Source organism: Homo sapiens, chromosome X (assembly GCF_000001405.40).
Source record: "Homo sapiens chromosome X, GRCh38.p14 Primary Assembly".
NCBI classification, from domain to species: Eukaryota; Metazoa; Chordata; class Mammalia; order Primates; family Hominidae; genus Homo; species Homo sapiens.
This window is the reverse complement of record NC_000023.11, coordinates 73,933,381-73,957,006: the sequence shown is the minus strand read 5'-3', so window position 1 is coordinate 73,957,006 and position 23,626 is coordinate 73,933,381. Positions and strand designations below refer to the sequence as shown.

At 40.6% G+C, this 23,626-nt stretch overlaps 1 long non-coding RNA gene across 1 annotated transcript in view, besides 1 other annotated feature; it reads right to left on the bottom strand.

The window, feature by feature from the left end:
- The window catches only part of JPX (JPX transcript, XIST activator), a 126,061-nt gene extending 113,378 nt beyond the window's left edge, over positions 1-12,683 (bottom strand). The window contains exons 1-2 of the long non-coding RNA NR_024582.1: positions 12,542-12,683; positions 12,345-12,423 (exon numbers count right to left, since the gene is read on the bottom strand). This is a non-coding gene — a long non-coding RNA (JPX transcript, XIST activator). The remainder of the gene's footprint in view (positions 1-12,344; positions 12,424-12,541) is intronic.
- Positions 12,559-12,658: an enhancer, noted in NCBI's record as "active region_29765". NCBI's record gives its function as "activates an Ori minimal core promoter by ATAC-STARR-seq in GM12878 lymphoblastoid cells {active_cell/tissue: GM12878}" and the evidence as "EXISTENCE:reporter gene assay evidence [ECO:0000049][PMID:35858748]".

Below are 23,626 nucleotides of genomic sequence, written 5' to 3'. Positions count from 1 at the left end.
CTACTGAAAATACACAAATTAGCCGGGCATGGTGGCGGGCACCTGTAATCCCAGCTACCCGGGAAGCTGAGGCAGGAGAATCGCTTGAACCCGGGAGGTGGAGGTTGCAGAGAGCCGAGATCGTGCCACTGCACTCCAGCTTGGGCTGAGTGAGTGAGACTTCTTCTCAAAAAAAAGAAAAAAAAGAAAACTATTGGCCACCACCTCAGCTAGATGTTCCCCTAGATCTGCCCCCACCTTATGGCTTATTGCCCTATCCCAAAAACATTATCTGATGTCTACTCAGTGACAACTTCCCTATCAGTTAACCTAACATTCTTGTAGAAAACAAGGTATCAGGCTGGGCACGGTGGCTCACGCCTGTAATCCTAGCACTTTGGGAGGCCAAGGTGGGCAGATCAGGAAGTCAGGAGTTCAAGACCAGCCTGGCCAACATAGTAAAACCCCATCTCTACTAAAAATACAAAAATTAAACGGGCATGGTGGCGCGCGCCTGTAGTCCCAGCTACTCGGGAGGCTGAGGCAGGAGAATCACTAAAACAAAAATTAGCCGAGCATGGTGGCTGGCGCCTGTAAACCCAGCTACTCTGGAGGCTGAGGCAGAGAATCACTTGTACCCAGGAGGTGGAGGATGCAGTGAGCCGAGATCGTGCCACTGCACTCCAGCCTTGGCGACAGAGTGAGACTCCATCTCAAAAAAAAAAAGAAAAAAAAAGAATATTATGTAAATAGTATAATATAGTATGTAACTATACGTCAGAGATTGGCTTTTTTCATTCAGCATAATTCTCTGGGAATTCATCCAGGTTGTTTTGTGCATCAGCTTTGTTTTTCATTCCTGTGTGGTATTATGTTATGAATGCACCACCATTTGTTTAGCCATTCACCCATTAAAGGACATCTGGGCACTTCTGTGTTGTTACTATCATGAACAAAGATGCCATGAACATTCATACACAAATTTTTGCAAGAACGTTAAGTTTTCATTTCTCTGGGATAAACACTCAAGAATGAAAATGCTGGGTCATATGGTAGTTGCAGGTTTGTGGTTTTTTGTTTTGGTTTTGTTTTTTTGAGACGGAGTTTCGCTCGTTGCCCAGGCTGGAGTGCAATGGCACAATCTCGGCTCACCGCAACATCCGCTTCCCAGGTTCAAGCAATTCTCCTGCCTCAGCCTCCCGAGTAGCTGAGATTACAGGCATGCACCACCACACCCAGTTAATTTTTGCTTTGTTTTGAGACAGAGTCTCTGTCGCCCAGGCTGGAGTGCAGTGGCGCGATCTCTGCTCACCACAAATTCTGCCTCCCGGGTTCACGCCATTCTCCTGCCTCAGCCTCCCGAGTAGCTAGGACTACAGGCGCCCACCACCATGCCCGGCTTATTTTTTGTATTTTTAGTAAAGACGGGGTTTCCTCATCTTAGCTAGGATGGTCTTGATCTCCTGACCTCATGATCCGCCCACCTCGGCCTCCCAAAGTGCTGGGATTACAGGCGTGAGCCACCACGCCCAGCCAATTTTTGTATTCTCAGTAGAGACGGGGTTTCTTCACGTTGGTCAGGCTGGTCTCAAACTCCTGACCTCCAGGTGATCAGCCCACCTCTGCCTCCCAAAGTGCTGGGATTACAGGAGTGAGCCACCCCACCTGGCCTGCAGGTTTATTTTAATAAGAAACTACCAAACAGTTTCCCAGAGGGGCTATGCCATTTTACATTCCAATCAGCAGTGGATAAGTAATCCATATTCTCTTCATCCTAACCAATACTTGGTGTTATGACTATTTGATAAGTGTACAGTGATTTCTGTTGTGATTTTAATGTGCATTTCCAAAATGGTTAATAATGTTAAACATCCTTTTATTTTATTTGCCATCTGTGTATCTTCTTCCATGAAATAATCTCTTCATGTCTTTTGCTCATGTTCTAATTGGACTGGTTGCTTTTTTACTGAGTTTCCAGAGTTTATGTATTCTAAATACAATTAATTTGCAAGATATGTGGTTTACAAATAAATTATCCTACTCTGTAGCCTCTCTTCATTCTCTTAACAGAGTCTTTAGCAGAACAAGAGTTTCTAACTTCAATAAAATTTAATTCATCAATTTTTCCTTTTACAGATCATCCTTTTAAGCATATTAAGAGTAAGAACTCCTTGCCTAGCACAAACTGAAGATTTCCTCCTATGTTTTCTTCTAAAAGTTTTATAGTTTTAAGTTTTACATTTAAGTCTCTAATTCATTTTGAGTACATTTTTGTATTAGATATGAGACTCAGGTTCATCTTTTTGCCTACAGATGGACAATTGGTCAAGCACCATTGTTAAAAAGGCTTTCTTTCATTACTGAACTGCTATTCCACGTTTGACAAAATTCAGTCGGGCCTAATTGTATATGTCTATTTCTCAGTTCTCAATTATGTTACACTGATTTATGTGTCTATCCTCCACCAATACAACACTGTCTTAATATAGGAATATAGTAGGCATTAATGTCAAGTTAATGATTCTACCAATGTACTATTTTTCAAGATGGTTTTAGCTATTTTAAGGCCTGTGCCTTTCCACATACATTTTAAAATAAGCTTTTCTATATCTACAAAAACATACTAGGATTTAAATGGAAATTCCATTAAACCTATCAATTTGTGGAGAATTGACATCATTACTATGTTGAGTTTCCCAAGTCATGAACATGATAAGTCTTTTCAATTATATAGGACTTCCTGAGTTTCTTTCACCAGCATTTTGTAATTTACAAAATACAAGTCCTGTACATGTTTACTTATGTCTAAATGTTGTGTTTCTTTGCAGTGCTTGTAAATGGTACTTTGTATATAATTTCCGTTTCCACATATTAAATTGCTAGTATATAGAAATGTGATTCATTCCGGGCGCAGTGGCTCATACCTGTAATCCCAGCACTTTGGGAGGCTAAGGCGGGCAGATCATGAGGTCAGGAGATCGAGACCAGCCTGGCCAACATGGTGAAACCCCATCTTTACTAAAACACAAAAAATTAGCCGGGCATGGTGGTGCATGCCTGTATTCCCAGCTACTCAGGAGGCTGAGGCAGGGGAATCACTTGAACCCGGGAGGCAGAAATTGCAGTGAGCCGAGATTGCAGTGAGCCGAGATCAGGCCACTGCACTCCAGCCTGGCAACAGAACGAGACTCCATCTCAAAAAAAAAAAAAAGCAACGTGATTCATTCATTTTTGTGTGTAGATCTTTTAGCCTGTGGTGTTACTAACTCATTAGTTCTAGAAATTTGGGGGTTGTTTTTTAGATTCCTTGAGATTTTCTACATAGACAATCATGCCATCTGCATATAGGGACAAATGTCTTTCTTTCCAATTGGGATATCTTTTATTTCTTGTTCTTACCTCACTACAGTGGCTTGAATTTCTATTACTATGTTGAATAAGGAAGATAAGAATGGACATCCTTTGCTTTTTCCTGATCTTAGGGGTAAGAGTCAGTTTTTCACCATTATGTATAATATCAGCTACAGTTTTTTTATAGATACTTATTCCTCATTTTCTGAAAATCATTATCAAGAATAGGTATTTGACTCTGTCATATGTTTTTTTCTGCATCAATATAATCAATTATGATTGTTTTTCAGACTGCTGATATAGTACATTATATTGACTGATTTTCAAATGCTGAACCAATCTTACATATCCATAAGATTGATTTTCAATTGCTGAACCAATCTTATATAACTATAAAAATTCCAACTTGGTCGTGGTCTATCAATTTCTTTTCATATATTGCTGGAATCAATGTGTTAATACTTTGTTAAAAGTATTTGGGGTCAGCCAGGCACGTTGGCTCACGCCTGTAATCCCAGCACTTTGGGATGCTGAGGCGGGAGGATCACCCAAGGTCAGGAGTTCGAGACCAGCCTGGACAACATGGTGAAACCCCGTCTCTACTAAAAATACAAAAATTAGCCAGGCGTGGTAGCGGGCACCTGTAATCCCAGCTCCTTGGGAGGCTGAGGCAGGAGAATCGCTTGAACCCAGGAGGCAGAGGTTGCAGTGAGCCGAGATCGCGCCACTGCACTCTAGCCTGGGTGACAAGAGCGAGACTCTTGTCTCAAAATATATATATATATATAAAATATATATATATAAAATATATAACATATAATATATTCAAAATGTAATAATTCTACAGTTGTTGAGCATTCTATAAATGGCAATTAGATCTTGTTGGTTTATTACATTGTTGAACTGTGTACTTGCTGATTTTCTAATTGTTCTGCCAGTTGTTGTGAGAAGGCTGCTGAACTCTCCAACTATAATTATGGACCTGTCTATTTCTACTTTCAGTTCTAGCAGTTTTTGCTTCACATATTTTGTAGCTCTATTGTTTGATACAGGTGCTTTAGAACTGCCATGTCTTCTTGGTGAATTTCATTATAAAACATCCCTCTTTTGTCTATAGTAATTTGTCTGAAGCCTACTTTATCTAACATAGCCAGTACTGCTTTCATTTGATTAAAGTTTGCATGGTATATCTTTGCCCATCCTTTTACTTTCAATCTGCTTATACAGTCATATTTGGGGGGGTTTTTTGTTTGCTTTTTGAGATGGAGTCTCACTCTCTCTCCCAGGCTGGAGTGCAGTGGCACGATCTCGGCTCCCTGCAACCTCCGCCTCCCGGGTTCAAGTGATTCTCCTACCTCAGCCTCTCGAGTATCTGGGACTACAGGTGTGTGCCACCACGCCTGGCTAATTTTTTGTATTTCTAGTAGAAATGGGGTTTTGCCATGTTGGCCATGCTGGTCTTGAACTCCTGACCTCAGGTGATCCACCCACCTCGGCCTCCCAAAGTGCCAGGATTACAGGTGTGAGCTACCATGCCCAGCCTATATAGTCATATTTGAAGTCTCATATTAACACATACAGTTACGTCATTGCCACTCTGAAAATCTCTTATCTTTTAAATGGTACATTTAAACGATTTAAATCTAATGTAATTGTTCATATGTTAGGGTTTAAGTCTGCGATTTATTTTTCCTTTGTTCTTAGTTTTCTATTTGTCTGTTTTTATCTGCCTTTCTGTGAGTTAGCTGAACATTTTATAAAATTCTGATTCCTCTCTAGAGTTTTTGCATATATGCATGGCATTTTTAGTGGTTGCTTCACATTATATATATACATTACTTATTACATTCTACGGCTGTCAACATTAATTCAAGTCCAGTTTAGAAACTAACTTTTCTTTATGTCCCTTCACCATCCCCAATTTATACCATATTGTCTTACTTTTTTCTTTTTTTGAGACAGACCCTCACCCAGTTGCCCAGGCTGGAGTGCAGTGGCGTGATTTCAGTTCACTGCAACCTCTACCTCCCAGGCTCAAGCGATCCTCCCACTTCAGCCTCCCAAGTAGCTGGGACTACAGGTGCAGGCCATTATACCCAGCTAATTTTTGTATTTTTTGGAGAGATGGGGTTTCATCATGCTGCCCAGGTTAGTCTCGAACTCCTGGGCTTAACCGTTCTGCCGGCCTCGGCCTCCTACACTGCTGGAAGTATAGGTGTGAGCCACCATGCCCAGCCCCATATTTTCTTTAAATACATTTTCTTGGCTGTGTGCGGTGGCTAACGACTATAATCCCAGCACTTTGCGAGGCCGAGGAGGGCGGATCACGAGGTCAGGAGTTCCAGACCAGCCTGACCAACATGGTAAAACCCCGTCTCTACTAAAAATACAAAAAAAATTAGCCGGGCATGGTGGCGTGTGCCTGTAATCCCAGCTACTCGGGAGGCTGAGGCAGAAGAATCGCTTGAACCTGGGAGGCGGAGGTCGCAGTGAGCCGAGATCGTGCCACTGCACTCCAGCCTGGGTGAGAATCCGTCTCAAAAAAAAAACCCAAAAAAAAAAATTTTATTTAAATGCATGTAAATACATTCATCAACTGATGAACAAAAGGTGGTACATTCATATATAGATTATTCAATCATAAAAAGGAATTAAGTACAAATTATATGCTACAGTATGGATGAATGTTGAAGATGTTATGCTAAATGAAAGAAGTCAGACACAAGAGATCACATATTACAGTTGACCCCTGAACATGGTTTTGAACTGCGTGGGTCCACTTTTATGTATTTTTTTTCAGTAAAAGTTACACCAGGTATGTCTGCCTCTCCTGCCTCCTCCATCTTTTCCACCTCTACCACTCCCTAGACAGCAAGACCAACCCCTCCTCTTCCTCAGCCTACTCAACATGAAGACAAAAAGGATGAAGACCTTCATGATGATCCACTTACATTTAATGAATCGTAAATATACTCTCTCTTCCTTCTGATTTTTAATAACATTTTCTTCTCTAGCTAATTGCAAGAATATAGTAGATAATAAATTACCATAGAAAGTATGTGTTAATTGACTATGTTATTGGTAAGGCTTCCAGTCAACAGTAGGCTATTAGTTAAGTTTTGGTGGAATTAAAAATTTTATGCAGATTTGACTGTATGAGGGGTTGGTGACCCTAACCCCCCCATTCCTCAAGGGTCTACTATATATGATCCCACTTGTATACAATATTCAGAACAGGCAAATCCATAAACAGAAAGCAAATTAGTAGCCATGGGATAGAGGGCAAAGGGAATGAGTACAGGGTTTCTTTTAGAAGTGATTAAAATCTGTTGGAACTAGACAGCAGTGATGGATGCACAACACTGTGAATGTATGAAATGCCACTAAATTGTATACTTTAAAATGGCTAAAACACTAATGTGTATTGTGCCACAATTAAGTAAAAAAATACTATAAAGTGAAAAGAAAAGTAGCTAACTGAAAAAAATATCTGCAGGCCGGGTGCAGTGGCTCATGCCTGTAATCCCACCACTTTCGGAGGCCAAGGCGGGCGGATCAAAAGGTCAAGAGATCGAGACCATCCTGGCCAACATGGTAAAACCCCATCTCTACTAAAAATACAAAAATTAGCTGGGCATGGTGCCACACGCCTGTAGTCCCAGCTACGCGGGAGGCTGAGGCAGGAGAATCGCTTGAACCTGGGAGGCGGAGGTTGCAGTGAGCCAAGATCGTGCCACTGCACTCCAGCCTGGCGACAGAGCAAGACTCCATCTCAAAAAAAAAAAAAGTCTGCAATATTATAACAAAAAAAGGCGAATTTCCTTAATTTATGAAGAGTGTCTACAATAAGAAAAAGTCCAAACACCAATTTTTTTTTTACAGGACCAAGAATATTAACAAATAGTTCACCCAAAAAAAATACCTTTCAAATGGATAAAAAAAAAAAGTTCAAATATCTTTAACACTGACATTCTCCGTTTCCCCTTCAATTTTCTCACAACTGGCATTCTTATCTCTTTCACTGGATAGGGGAGAGTTTTTAATGCTCAGTTTTAGATCCCCTGGTTTGCTTTCCTGATACTGGAAATGCTGCCATGGTATAGCTGGCAGAGTGAATGGACCAACATTCACAAATTATTTTCCCTATATGTAAACTAATCACTAACGGTACAGTTGGCATGACCCCAACTCGTGTTTTGTGAAGTTCAACAAGCCAATTTCATAAAACAAACAAAAGAAGGGGTTATAGGGAACTGCTCTAAATTTTAAAAGGCTCAAAAGACATAAAAATCAAATGCAATGTGTGGTCTCCGAATAGATCCTGGTTTGAAGAAAGCAGCTATAAAAGACATCCTGCGGACAACTGGGAAAATCTGAATATGCACTGGGTGTTAAACATTAAGGAATGGCCGGGCGCGGTGGCTCACGCCTGTAATCCCAGCACTTTGGGAGGCCGAGGCAGACGGATCACCTGAGATTAGGAGTTCCAGACCAGCCTGGCTAACATGGTGAAACCCCATCTCTACCAAAAATACAAAAATTAGCCGGGCATGGTGGCAGGCCCCTGTAATCCCAGCTACTCGGGAGGCTGAGGCAGGAGAATCACTTGAACCCGGGAGGTCGAGGTTGCAGTGAGCCGAGATCACACCATTGCACTCCAGCCTGGGTGACAAGAGCAAGACTTCATCTCAAAAACAAAAAAAAAATTACGGAATTACTGTTAATCCTACTATGTATAGTGATGGCATTGTGACTATATAGAAAAAGGTCCTTGTTTATTATATGTTTATATTGACTTATTTAGAAGAAAATGTCATGATAACTGTAATTTACTTTACAGTATTTTGGGGGAAAAGGCAAGTAAGGCAAAATCATAACGGTTGCTAAATCTAAGTGATCCATATATGGAAATTCATTTATGTTATTCTCTCTACTTTCATGTGAATGTCTAAAATTTTTCCCAACAGATAATAAATCACTAACCTATTAATTCATTTCTCACCAACTAAACATGCACCCCATTAAGCAAATAATTATTCTAGAAAGAACATTTGTGAATATACAATATAGAAATTAATATTATTCATTATTTTGAAACATCCTTTAAGGAGCTTTTATACTTTTTTTTTTTTTTGAGACGAAGTCTTGCTCTTGTCACCAGGATTGTAGGCACAAGGCAGCATTTATACTTTCTTAGGTTATGTTTCAGAAAACATGCTTCCCGGCCGGGCGCGGTGGCTCAAGCCTGTAATCCCAGCACTTTGGGAGGCCGAGGCGGGCAGATCACGAGGTCAGGAGGTCGAGACCATCCTGGCTAACACGGTAAAACCCCGTCTCTACTAAAAATACAAAAAAATTAGCTGGGCATGGTGGCAGGCGCCTGTAGTCCCAGCTACTTGGGAGGCTGAGGCAGGAGAATGGCGTGAACCTGGGAGGCGGAGCTTACAGTGAACCAAGATCGTGCCACTGCACTCCAGCCTGGGCGACAGAGCGAGACTCCATCTCAAAAAAAAAAAAGAAAAGAAAAGAAAATACGCTTCCCGATTATCTTTGAGTTATGCATTTCGACCAGTATGCTACTTCACATAATTATTTACTTATTAGCACCCTTTAAATGTCCACTCTGTTCTGGTTCTGCTGCTTCACTTTCCCTAACCCCCAATCAGCCCATATCAATCTCTTCATTGCTAAAACAGTACAACATCAACAGCACTGGAACACAGTATCTAGCTACGTAAGAAAACTTACATTTACCCTGCTGCAAAATATGGAGAGGAATCCATAAGAGCTAAGTTTCTTTTCTGTCCAGTGTGTATGGCATTAACTAATCACCATTTTCCTTTTTTCTTTTAAGTTAATGTGTCAAACATAGAAATAACCTGAAGTACTATGAATTATTTTTAAAAAGTTATGTTGATAATTATTTTACCTGGAAAGTATTAGTTTGCTTTTAAATGTTATTCAAAGATATACTCCACAAGTATAATTTTATTATACCTCAAGAATATTTTATAAGAACTCATCTTAATTTTATAATTATTAACCTCTTAAATCTGTGTAAGACATTCTATTTAATGCAACTCCTTATAAAAATCATATCCCACAAATTATCTTTAACGACAAAAATCTAAGTCTAGCTTGTCAAGTTTTTCTCTGTAACATATTCTCTTAACAATTTGTATCCTTGATTACTAATAGTCAGTTCCTGCAAATGAACCAATCAATAATCAATTAAAAAAACCTAAAAAAATTAAATGATGTCCAACATTGTTCTCATAAAAATATATACAAAATTAACATACCAGTCGTCAATGCAATTTCAAACAAACAATGCAAAATTGGTAAAATGTTTTAGTCTTTATGTAGATTTCATCAAGTGTTTTGCCTTCTCCCAAGGGTTAGGAAGTTTAAAACTAATGTTCTGGCCGGGCGCGGTGGCTCACGCCTGTAATCCCAGCACTTTGGGAGGCTGAGGTGGGCGGATCACCTGAGGTCAGGAGTTCAAGACCAGCCTGACCAACATGGAGAAACCCCATCTCTACTAAAAAATACAAAATTAGCTGGGTGCGGTGGCACATGCCTGTAATCCCAGCTACTCGGCAGGCTGAGGCAGGAGAATAGCTTGAATCCAGGAGGTGGAGGTTGCAGTCAGCCGAGATCGCGCCATTGCACTCCAACCTGGGCAACAAGAGCAAAAATCCGTCTCAAAAAATAAATAAAACATAAATAAAATAAAATTATTAATGTTCTAACCACTGTTTACAGGGTTGTTGCACTAATAAATTCCACGTCCTGGACCTAAATGATTGCTAAAATGTTTTGCACACAGCAGCTAAATGTAATCACACTAACATGATGCCAGAAACAACTGATTCATCTACATGCAACCTCATTTCCCTCAGATGCCTCCAAGGCAACTGAAGTTCATAGATTTTGTCTAATTACAAGTGCAGGCTCAAATCACCTTGGATTTGAGTTAGGATCCACGGATTGTTTTTTGTTTGGTTAGTTGGTTTTGTTCTGTTTTTCAATTCAGGCATCTTGTTCATGGAACATTCATTATTTGCTTGAGATTGCTTTCACTGCCAGCTGCTTACTTTCTTTACCACTGTAGTATAATCTACACCCTTTGACTCAACTGCTTGCTAGATTCTCCCCTCAATTAAGAAATTTCTAGGCTCAAGGAAAAAAAAAAAGAAAAGAAGGAATTTTGATTGGCCACTGTTACAGTAATAGTCAGATAAGGCTGGGCACAGTGGCTCACGCCTGTAATCCCAATACTTTGGGAGGCCGAGGCAGGCAGATTACCAGAGGTCAGGGGTTGGAGACCAGCCTGGCCAATATAGGGAAACCCGTCTCTACTAAAAATACAAAAATTAGCCAGGCGTGGCAAGGTGTGCCTGTAATCTCGGCTACTCTGGATGCTGAGGCATGAGAATCGCTTGAACCCAGGAGGCGGAAGTTACAGTGAACCGAGATCGAGCCACTACACTCCTGCCTGGGTGACAGAGCAAGACTCCATGTCTGTCTGTCTCTCTCCCTCTCTCTCTCTCTATATATATATAAAATAAATTAAAATTAAATTAAAATTAGCCGGGCACAGTGGCAGGCGCCTGCAATCCCAGCTACTCGGGAGGCTGAGGCAGGAGAATCGCTTGAACTGGGGTGGTGAAGGTTGCAGTGAGCCAAGATTGCGCCACTACGCTCTAGCCGGGGCAACAAGCAAGACTTCATCTCAAAAAAAAAAAAAAAAAAAAAGTCAGATAGACACTTGCTTTCTTCTTTCATTGACTTTTTTTAAAAATTCATCTTCAATATTTACAAAAAATAATCCATGCTAGAAGTTGCTATGTCACAGAAGTTTAAGAAATGCATGGTAAAAATCACTAAGTTTAAAATAATGGTTACCTCTGGGGATGAGAGAAGAGAGAGATGCAATCAGGGATGGGTACACAGAGAACTTCAACTGTCACGTTAATGTTTGATTTTTTTTTTACGTTGGGTGGTGAGAAGAGAGGTTCATTGTATTATTCCTTGTATATCTGTATATGTCTTAAGTATTTCATAATATATTTAACGTCTCCTCCAAAAGATAAAGAAGTTAATCTTGCATTCCTTCATCACCCCATCAAAAAAAAAAAAGGACTCATACTAGACTATTCTGCAACTTACTTTTCTCACATAACCATCCATCATAAGATTCTCTAGGTCAAAAGTCAAAATATTTCATAATATTTATGTACCAAAATTTACTCAAACATTCTCCTATTGATGGATACACAGGTTGTTTCCAGTTGTCACAAGAACAAAATAGTACAAAAGTATCCTTGTTCATGCGTCATTATATACTGGTACTTTTATTTCTGTAGGATAGATTCTTAAAAGTCAGACTTTTGAATTCCAGTTTTTGTTCAAGTGATATCTGTATTTTTTATTTCCCTAAATATTGCCAGATTCTTTTCTAAAAGGTTGCAGCAATTCATACTCCGCGGTAATGCATGAAATTTACTTTAATCACATAAGCATTTAACAACATATTAGATGTCACTCTTAACTGTCTTCCCCATATATATAGTAAACATGCTATGCTTAACATAAACTTAATTTCGCCAACAGATTTGAAAACAGGAAATCTAGCTCTTTTCTTAGTGAGTAATCAACCTGGCAATGTAAGTCCCCCAAAGATTACACACACACACACACACCTCTGAGATGCTTCAAGAACAAATGTTAAGTTTTTGCCCAAAACTCCACATTTGGGGTATAGTGGGCACAGAAAAAAATTGTTTAATCTAGTGCATAATGAATACGTTACAAACAAATTAATTAAAACTAATAAGTCTGGACATGAAAGGCAGAACAAAAAAAAAATAAAGTTAGGCCCAAGAGGTTAGGCTGTTCCTAGGAAAGCTCTGAGGAGATGGAATCCATTTTGGCGCGACATGGTGTCAATAAAAACCCATTTAAATAAGGAAAAAGGAAAGAACGACCCATATATCCCTCCTAGGAGCTACCTTCTGCAACTTCCAAGCTTCGTCAGTAGAAGTTAGGCGATCAGCGAGAAAGAAATTATTCTCCGATATTTTGAAGAGACTGGAGAGAGAAAAATGGAATACAGGCCGGTTACTCCCCCGACTCAGGCCACGCGATCCCAAAGTGTGTAGCCTCGCTAACGGCCACTTCTCTAGCCAACGTGAGGCTCATCACTCACCACAATACTATTAACTGGCGAGTTTCTGGACTTTTGTTAGTGGACTCATACTTCGGACGCCTTGCAACCCCCGTAAGGACGCAGTGATTGCACTCCGTGCAAACGCCGCCATCTTAAGTCTTCCACTAGCCCTAGGGCATAGGCGGATGAAAGCCGGGGGTGGGCGTCACAGCCAAACAGGCCCGGCGCCCAGCCGTCGTGCACTACCTAAATGCCTCCGCCGGCAACATGCACCAGCCGTTGCCGTGCCCCAGCCGTTGCCGTGCCGCAGCCGTTGCCGTGCCGCAGCCGTTGCCGTGGACCCTCCCCCAGTTTCCTGACCTGTTGCACTTCCTCTCACAGCCTTTATCTCTTTTGAAATTCCCTTTTCCTTTTTCTTTCTCTTCATTTCTTTTTTCCTTTCCCAACCCAAATTTCTTTTAGCTTTGCCTCGACTCCTTTCTTTCTTCCCTATTTCCAGATCTCTCACTCTCATTAACTTTACCTCACAAGTATGATAGACAAAGCTGCCATTCACTTCTGTTATCTCACTAAGTCATTGCAACATCAGGTAAGCTGAGGACTGATTTTTTCCTGTTTTATAGATGACGAAATTAAGGCCCAAAGAGGTGACCCAATTTTCCAAAAGTGCTAGAATGAGCTAGAACCTACTTCTTTTCACTTTACTAAGCCCCGTGTTCCGATAGATGAGGGTGTATGTACTTCAACCAACTAATGGGAAAACAGAAACCAGAGGGTTTTGGCCTAGTCATACAGTGAGTCCGTCAATGGCAAAACTGGATTCAGAACAAGGTGCTTCCTTTAATTCTGTAAACAAAAGAGTCTTCATAAAAGAGTTGGTAGCCAGGTGTGGTGGCGCTTGCCTGTAATCTCAGTGTAATCCCAGCTACTTGGGAGGCTGAGGTGGGAGAATCGCTTGAACCCGGGAGGCGGAGGTTGCAGTGAGCTGAGATCGTGCTGCTGCATTCCAGCCTGGGCGACCGTGCCAGACTCCGTCTCAAAAAAAAAAAAAAAAAAAAAGAGTTGAGATGCTGCTCTTGAGCCTAAAAGTCCTTCCATCTTCCCTCTTCTTTTATTTATTTTTGTTTTATTTTTTTGAGACGGAGTCTTGCTCTGTCGCCCAGGCTGGAGTGCAGTGGCGCGATCTTGGCTCGGTGCTACCTCCGCCTCCTGGGTTCAAGCGATTCTCCAGCCTCAGCCTCCTAAGTAGCTGGGATTACAGGCATCTGCCACCATGTCCAGCTAATTTTTACTAGAGACGGGGGTCTCACCATCATGGCCAGGCTGGTCTTGCACTCCTGACCTCAAGTGATCCACCCGCCTCAGCCTCCCAAAGTGCTGGTATTATAGGCGTGAGCCACCGCACCCAGCCTCCCTCTTCTTTTAGATTCAGCTCTTTTAGATTCAGTCCTGACACTTCTAAGAGGCCTCTATATTTATCAAAACCTTTATCTCTGTTGTTCCCGCTCCATGAGGGAAAATACACTAGCTGGATACCAGCCCCAAAAGTATGAAAAAACCGAGGCCAAAACTTGTTTGTGAAGCATTATGTGTGAGTGGTGCAGGTTTCTGGGGGAAGGCTTGTGCTTCACCGGTAAGGAAAAGACACTTTAGAGGTCCTAATCCCTTTCCAAAGCTATAGTTTCTCTCTATGCACTAATGTTGTCTCTGGTTTTCTACGAGACCCCCACATAGAACACCTCTTATTCTATTCATTTGCATCATTACTTTTCTGTCTTTATTTTGATATCGTCACCCTCAAAAGGAAGGTAATGATACACAGTTGTATAAAACATCTGGGCATTGACATATGGACATTTTGGAGTAAAACACCAAAAACACCACATAAAACCAGTTACGTGTTCAAAGGTCAGTAATAGAGGTGGAGAGGTCTCTAAGCTTAAACTGTTTCATCTCCTAGGGTTTAGGCATATTTGAGCACATCTTGGAAATTTGTAGGACAGGCACCAAAAACCAATTGCAAAAGGAACTGTTGAGCTCCTAAGAAAGAACTAGTACTAAAAGAGTAGGGAATCAGATAGACAATGTAGGGTAAAAGAAGGATCAAGTCTGAATGTTGCAGAGGAGGCAAATATGACTGTAAATTCTGTCATATTTTCTTTTGGCAGTAGCACACCATGCATTTATTTTGGGGCAGGTACAAAACATCCCTCTGTAGTAATTTAATGGTAAGTAGAAAGGGGGATAAAAATGAGTGAAACCTGCCGGGCACGGTGGCTCATGCCTGTAATCCCAGCACTTTGGGAGGCCGAGGTGGGCGGATCACCTGAGATCAGGAGTTTGAGACCAGACTGGCCAACAATTACAGCAATACAAAAATTAGCTGGATGTGGCGGTGGGCACCTGCAATCCCAGCTACTCGAGAGGCTGAGGCGAGATAATCACTTGAATCCAGGAGGCGGAGGTTGCAGTGAGCCGAGATAGCGCCACTGCACTCCAGCCTGGGCGACAGAGCAAGACTCCGTCTCAAAAAAAAAAAAAATGAAATCTATTGCAGTTTTGTTCTGATGACTCTTGGGACTTTGTCTGTTTGGGAGGAAAATGACTTTTTATTTATTTATTTTTTTTATTTTTTTGAGACAGAGTCTCACTCTGTCACCCAGGCTGGAGTGCAGTGGCGCAAACTCGGCTCACTGCAACCTCTGCCTCTCCTCTCTCGGGTTCAAGCGATTCTCCTGTCTCAGCCTCCCATGTAGCTGGGACTACAGGCGCAGGCCCCCACACCTGGCTAATTTTTGTATTTTTAGTAGAGACGAGGTTTCACCGTATTGGTCAGGTTGGTCTCGAACTCCTGACCTCAGGTGATCCACCCGCCTTGGCCTCCCAAAGTGCTGGGATTACAGGCATGAGCCACCGTGCCTGGCTGAATTTTTTAAATACACATATAAAGAAATAATCAGCAGGAAGCATTATTCGAGAAATAGGCTTATAAAGCTGCCAGTCAATTTTTTTTTTTTAACAAATTGATGCACTGGTTTTATTTGGTAATGTTTCGAATTGAAAAGTGCTAGACCCAGAGACCCAGGGACAGAAAAGCTATATTAATTCACAGCCACGGTGCAAGCTTCATGCCCCTGCCTCCACTCACTCACATTTCCCCTAGTCTACCTGCCTCAATTCCAACTTAAGAAAAATGCCTCCAGAAAACACCAGAGACAGAGTTTGGTTGCCAGGTTACAATATTTCCTCTTGAAGACTGATCTTGGTAGCTTCCTGGACTACTGAACTAGCTAGTACCTATTTCATTCTCTGTGGAAACCCACTTTTCCTCTTACATAAGTAATTGTTCCAAAGGTAAGAAAGCTGCCTCCTGAAAGAATATAAAATCCAAATAGGTGAAAGGAGAGTTGGGATTTTACCATCATCCAGCCATATTTGGCAGGCACTTGCTTAGAAAGGGCTCTTATTTGGAAATTTTACAAACAAATTTACAAAGGCAATGACCCCTGGGACAATAGTTCATGTTATCTTTGCATTCACAATTTAAGACAAATAAATGAGTAACAGTCTTAACAGCTAAAATGATAGATGCTGAGTTACACTAGAACAAATTCATTTGAAACATGAGTTGGAACAAGAGTGAAACCATCTCAAAAATAAAATAAAATAAAATAAAAAAGTACAATTTGCGGTGGCATGTGGGAGAACAGATATAACAGAATTTATTCATTCATTAAGAACTTACATGTAAAGAATAAGACTACACAAGTGGGTGATGAATGCAATCCAGTATTAATCTTCAAGGAGATTACATTCAAATCGGAGAGGGGAAAAAGAAAAAGAATCGTAAGAAGTGTCTTTATCCAAGGCACTGTGCTAGGTACAAGGTAGAAATAGAAGTGAGAGTTGGGGCCGGGCACGCTGGCTCGCGCCCATAATCCCAGCACTTTGGGAGGCTGAGGGGGGCAGATCACTTGAGGTTAGGAGTTCGAGATCAGCCTGGCCAACGTGGTGAAACCCCGTCTCTACTAAAAATACGAAAATTAGCCAGGTGTGGTGGTGTGCGCCTGTAATTCCAGCTACTCAGAAGGCTGAGGCAAGAGAATTGCTCGAACCCAGGAGACAGAGGTTGCAGTGAGCCAAGATTGTGCCATTGCACTCCAGTCTGGGTGACAAAGCGAGACTCTGTGCCAAATAAATTAATAAATAATAAATAAATAAATAAATAAGGTAGAGTTGGGTATGGAGATGAATCTACCATGAATCTTAGCATTAGGGAATTTATTTTCTAGTAGGGAGAAATAAAATGTGAAGGTTGGGTAATTTTTTTTTATTAGGGGCTTAAGGGGATGAAAAAGTATTTCATACATAAATTTCAGCACCCAAAATAATTTATAAAGTTATACATTTTGCAAAGCACTGTACCAAGTGATGTAGGGAATGGGAAAAACAACAAGAAGGGAATTTATAAATGTAATGTGAGCCAATGAAGGCAATATATTAGAAAGAAGGATGTATCATGAGATGTAAAATCACGCCACTTAAACTATATATAAAGTTGACCAATCCTAAAGCTCCTTTTTAAGCTGAGCTATAATTCACATACCATAAAATTCACCCTTTCTAAGAGTACAAGTCAGTGGTTGTTGATATATTCACAGACTTGTGTAACTGTCACTACTATCTAATTTCAGAACATTTCCATTACAATAAGAAACCCCATACCCGGCCGAGTGTGTTGGCTCACACCTGTAATCCCAGCACTTTGGGAGGCCGAGGCGGGTGGATCACCTGAGGTCAGGAGTTCGAGACCAGCCTGACCAATATGGTGAAACCCCGTCTCTAGTAAAAATACAAAAATTAGCTGGGCGTGGTGGTGGGTGCCTGTAATCCCAGCTACTTGGGAGGTTGAGGCAGGAGAATCGCTTGAACCCGGGAGGCAGAGGTTGTAGTGAGCCGAGATCTTGCCACTGCACTCCAGCCTGAGCAACAGAGCAAGACTGCATTTCAAAAAAAAAAAAAAAAAAAGAAACCCCATACCCATTAGCAGTTACTACTCATTACCTCTTCACCCAATCAGCCCCTAGCAAACACCATTTTTTTGTCTCTATGGATTCGCTTCTTCTGAACATTTCATTTAAATGAAATCAACAGGTGACCTTTTGTGCCTGACTTCTTAGCACAATATTTTCAAGGTTCATGCATGTCGTAGCATATATCAGTGCATTTCTTTTTACGACTAAATAATATTCCATTGTATAAATATACAACATATTGCTTATCCATTCATCAAATGATATATATTTGGGTTGTTTCCATCTTTTGGCTATAATGAATAATGCTACTATGAACATTTATGCACAAGTTTTTGTGTCAACCCACGTTTGCAGATATCTTGGGTATATACCTAGGCGGGCAACTGCTGGGCAACACGGTAACTCTATGATGAACTCTTTGAGGAATTGTCAAAGGGTCTTCCAAGGCACTGCATCATTTTACATTTCTACCAGCAATATATGAGTGTTACAATTTCTCCACATTGTTGCCATACTTGTCATTTTAACTATAGCCAGCCTAATGGGTGTGAAGTAGTATCTCAAATGCTTTTGATGAGCATTTTCCCAGTAGCTAATGATGTAGAGCATCTTTTTATGTGCATATTGGCCTTTTATATATCCTCTTTGGATAAATATCTATTCAAATACTTGGCCTATTTTTCAATCAGGTTATTGGTCATTTATTGAGTTGTAGGAGTTTTACATTATCAGATATATGATTTGCAAATATTTTCTCCTATTTCGTAAGTTTTTTTCAGTTTCTTGATGCGTTCTTAAAGCACAAAAGTTTTTTATTTTCACTAAGTACAACTTACTTTTTCTTTTGTACCTTGTGTTTTTAATGTCATAACTAAAAAAAAAAAAAAGCCACATTGTCTAACCTAAGGGCATGAAGATTTTCTTATATGAGTTTTATAGTTTAAGCATTTACATTTAGGTCTTTGATACATTTTGAGTTTTTTTTTTTTTTGGTTGTTTTTGTTTGGTTTTTATTATTTATTTATTTGTTTTATTTGTATTTTTATTTATTTATTTATTTTGAGACAGGGTCTCGCTGTGTCACCCAGGCTGAAGTGCAGTGGCAAGATCTCGGCTCACTGCAGCCTCCGCCTCCCGGGTTCAAGTGATTCTCCTGCCTCAGCCTCCCGAGTACCTGGGACTACAGGTGCGTGCCACCACGCCCGTCTAATTTTTGTATTTTTAGTAGAGGCGGGGTTTCACCACGTTCTCCAGGCTGATCTCAAACTCCTGACCTCAGGTCATCTGCCCGCCTCGGCCTCCCAAAATGCTGGGATTACAGGCATGAGCCACCGCGCCCGGCCTTTTTTCTTTCTTTCTTATTTTTTTTTTTTTTTTTTTGAGACAGGCTTTCACCCTCATCACTGCTAGGGTGCAATGGCGCAATCTTGACTCACTGCAATCTCTGCCTCCCAGGGTTACGCAATTCTCCGACCTTCGCCTCCCAAGTATCTGGAACTACAGGCGCAGCGCCACTACGTCTGGCTAATTTTTTTTTTTGTATTTTTTTGTAGAGATGGGGTTTCACCATGTTACCCAGGCTGGTCTCAACTCCTGGACTCAAGCGATCTGCCCACCTCAGCCTCCCAAAGTGCTGGGATTATAGGCATGGGCCACCGCGCCTGGGAGTTAATTTTTGTATGTGATGAGCAATAGTAATCTAACTTCTTTCTTTTGCATATAGATACCCAGTTTTCCCAGCACCATGTGTTTAAAAGAGTGTTGCTTCTTTGTTTATAATTGACCATAAATGTAAGGGTTTATTTCTAAACTCCCAACTCTATTCCTTTGATTTATATATATTTATAAATGTAACTTTATACCAATCCCACAGTCTTGATTACTGTAGCTTTGAAGTAAATTTTAAGATAAAAAACCATGAGTATCTGACCCCACTGGAAACGAAAAAGAAAAAAAAAAAAGAAACATGAATGCTTCAACCTCCAACTTTATTCTGGATGATTTTCACTATTCTGGACCCTTGCAGTCTCATATGAGTTTTAGCATCAGCTTGTCGATGTCTGTAGTAATCAAGCTGGGATTTTGATAGGGATTGTGTTGAGTCTATAAATAAATTTGGAAACCTTTGACATTATAACAATATTAAGTCTTTAAATTCATGAACATGCGATGGAGGTCTTCCAATATATGTAGATCTTCTTAAACTTTTTTCAATAATGTTTTGTGTACAAATTTCGATAATGTTCTGTGTACAAGTTTTGAACTTCTTTTGTTAATTTATTCCTAAGTACAAGTATTTTTTATGCTATTTTAAATGGAATTTTTTGCTTAATTTTATTCAGATTTGTTTATTGCAAGTCTATAAAATACAACTCTTTGTTGTATATTAGTTTTGTATTGTACAATGTTGGTAAAGTGTCTTGTTAGTTCTAGTTCTAGTTCTAGTTCTAGTATAGTTGTCCCTCAATATCCAAGGGGATTTGATTCCAGGACCCCTCACAGATATCAAAATTCTCAGATGCTTAATTTTCTTACGTAAAATGGGGTTATATAATCTATGTACATCCTTCTGAATGCTTCAAACCATCTCTGAATTACTTACAATACTTGATACAATGTAAATGCTATGTAAATAGTTGTTATACGGTATTTGTTTCATTTATATTATTTTTATTGTTGTTTTTTTAATATTGCTTTATTTTTGATCCACAATTTGTTGAATTTGTGGATGTGAAACCCATAGATATGGGGGGCTACTGTAGTTTTTTGTGGATTCCTTAGGATTTTCTATATGCAAGGTTATATCTTGTAAAAGTAGATATAGTTTTACTTCTTCCTTAACAAAAGTAGATATAGTTTTACTTCTTCCTTAAAATTCTAAATGTCTTTTATTTCTTTTTCTTGCCTAATTGCCCTGGACAGAACCCCTAGCACAAACGTGAATAGAAATGATCAGAGCAAAACATTCTTGCCTTTTTTTTTTTTTTTGAGACGGAGTTTCACTCTTGTTGCCCAGGCTGGAGTGCAATGGCACGATCTTGGCTCACTGCAACTTTGCCTCCCGGGTTCCAGTGATTCTCCTGCTTCAGCCTCCCGAGTAGCTGGGGTTACAGGCACCCACCACCACGCCCGGCTAATTGTTTGTATTTTTAGTAGAGACGGGGTTTCACCATGTTGGTCAGGCTGGTCTTGAACTCCTGACCTCAGGTGATCTGCCCGCCTCGGCCTCCCAAAGTGCTGGTATTACAAGTGTGAGCCACCGCAGCTGGCCAGCTTTTGTTTTTTGTTTTTTTTTTTTTTGAGCACTATGAATGGTGTCATCCTCCACTTTTCTAGCCTCCATGACCTCCTTGTGGCCTTCATGATGAGAAATCACTTTTGTCTTCCGGGAGATACCTTAGACATAAATAACCTCCCTCTTGCTGCTTTCCTGATTTTTAATGGAAGCAAATTCATCGATAATAATTTCAAAAGTTACGTCTTTCCTTATCTTGTTTTCAAGTAAGAGAAATCGATGTTTGGCAATTTCTCTTGACCAACTGAACAATCTTAAATTAATTTTTAATTAATTTTAGCATATGGAAATTGCTTTCACAGGATATCGTTTTAAAAATATATTAAGTCTACTTCCAAATTTGAATAAGATTACACTAAAGCAACTTTATGAACCAGCTTTAGAATACTCAAACTCAATGCTGATTTTATATTACACATTACTGATTTTGCAGGATACTTAAAATTATTTTGGATGAAATTCTGGGGCCAGGTGCAGTGGCTCATGCCTGTAATCTCAACACTTTCAAAGGCTGAGGCGGGCGGATGACTTGAACTCAGGAGTTTGAGACCAGCCTGGCCAACATGGTGAAAGCCCATCTCTACTGTAAATACAAAAATTAGCCAAATTAGCCAGGCATGTTGGCAGGTGCCTATAATCCAGCTACTTGGGAGGCTGAGGCAGGAGAATCACTTGAACCTAGGAGGCGGAGGTTGCGGTGAGCTGAGATTATTGTGCCACTGCACTCCAGCCTGGGTGAGGCAGAACAAGACTCCATCTCAAAAAAAACCTATTTTGGGCCAGGTGCGGTGGCTCACACCTGTAATCCCAGCACTTTGGGAGGCCGAAGCAGGCAGATCACCTGAGGTCGGGAGGTCAAGACCAGCCTGACCAACATGGAGAAACCCCGTCTCTACTAAAAATACAAAATTAGCCCGGCGTGGTAGAGCATGCCTGTAATCCCAGCTACTTGGGAGGCTGAGGCAGGAGAATTGCTTGAATCTGGGAGGTGGAGGTTGCAGTGAGCTGAGATCGTGCCGTTGCACTCCAGCCTGGGCAAAAAGAAAAAACTATTTTGGATGAAATTTTTACAGGATTTTAGTCATTAGAATATTTTTGAGCCAAGTCGTTGACTGCTTTTCGTTATTTTGTTGTTGTTGTTTGTTGCTGTTTTTAAGTATTAAGAGATTTATCACAAGGAATTGGCTTACATGATTTATTGCAAGGAAATGGCTATGCAAGTCCAAAATCCATAGGGCAGGCTGGAACTGTTGGGCATGAGCTAAAGTTCTATCCTCAGCGAAAATGTATTCTTCAAGTAAGCCTCAGCTCTGCTCTTAAGGCCTCCAGTTTATTGAATCAGCCTACCTAGATTATCTAGAATAATCTACCTTAAAGTCAACTGATTGATTATAACCTTTAGTCACATCAACAAACCACCTTCACAACCAGACCTAGATTAGAGTTTCATTGAATAACTGTAGAATGTAGCCTAGCCAAGTTGACATAAAACTGACCATGACACACGTGTTACATTCATCATGCTATGTCCTTAACACTGAAGACAGCCTCTAGTGCATTTCTATATCTCCTTCCCCAGGTCCCAGGTACAGATAAACACACATAAGTTAAATGAGCAAGTCTACAGGCAAATATGCTTATCCTTTCATCATTCTACTTTTCATCACTCTCTTCTGCTGTGCCATACAACCCCACTGGTTCCTTTTTTAATTTTAATTTTAGATTCAGAGGGTACATGTGCGAGTTTGTTACAAGTGTGTATATTGCATGATGCTGAGATGTGGGCTTCTATTGACCCCATCACCAGATAGTGAACATAGTACCTAATAGAAAGTTTTTGAGCTCTTGCCTCTTCTTTCTTCCCTACCATTTGGAGTCCTCAGTGTATATTGTTCCCATCTTTATGTCTGTATGTATCCAGGGTTTAGCTCCCACCTATAAGTGAGAACATGCAGTATTTGATTTTCTCTTTTGGCATTAATTTGCTTAGGATAATGGCCTCCAGCTGCATCTACGTTGCTGCAAAGAACAGGATTTCATTCATTTTTATGGTTGCATAGTATTCCATGGTATATATTTACCACATTCTCTTTTTTTTTTTTTTTTGTCTTTCTTTTTTTATTTTTCACTGAGACGGAGTCTTGCTCCGTAGCCCAGGCTGGAGTGCAGTGGCGCAATCTTGGCTCACTGCAACCTCCGCCTCCCGGGTTCAAACGATTCTCCTGCCTCAGCCTCCTGAGTAGCTGGGACTACAGGTGCACGCCACCATGCCTGGCTAATTTTTGTATTTTTAGTAGAGATGGGGTTTCACCTTGTTGGCCAGGATGGTCTCCATCTCCTGACCTCGTGATCCTCCTGCTTCAGCCTCCCAAAGTGCTGGGATTACAGGCGTGAGCCACCGAGCCCAGCCTATATGTACCACATTTTCTTTATTTAATCCACTGTTGATGGGCACCTAGGTTGTTTCCATGTATTTGCTATTGATTGGCTACTCTTTGGAAATCAGAAGTATTTAGAGAAAATAACTTTTTACTGGCTAAAAATGAAAATTCTAATGGTATTTTATTTTATTTGTCACAGTTCCACTTCAAACATGAAATTGGGGCTTGTATAATCTTCTAACTTTCTGTTGTTTTTATTTTTGTTGTTTTGAGCCAGTGTCTCACTCTGTCTCCCAGGGTAGAGTACAATAGCATGATCTGGCTCACTGCAGCCTCGACCTTCCAGGCCCAGGTGATCCTCCCACCTCAACCTCCCGAGTAACTGGGACTACAGGTGCATGACACCATGCTC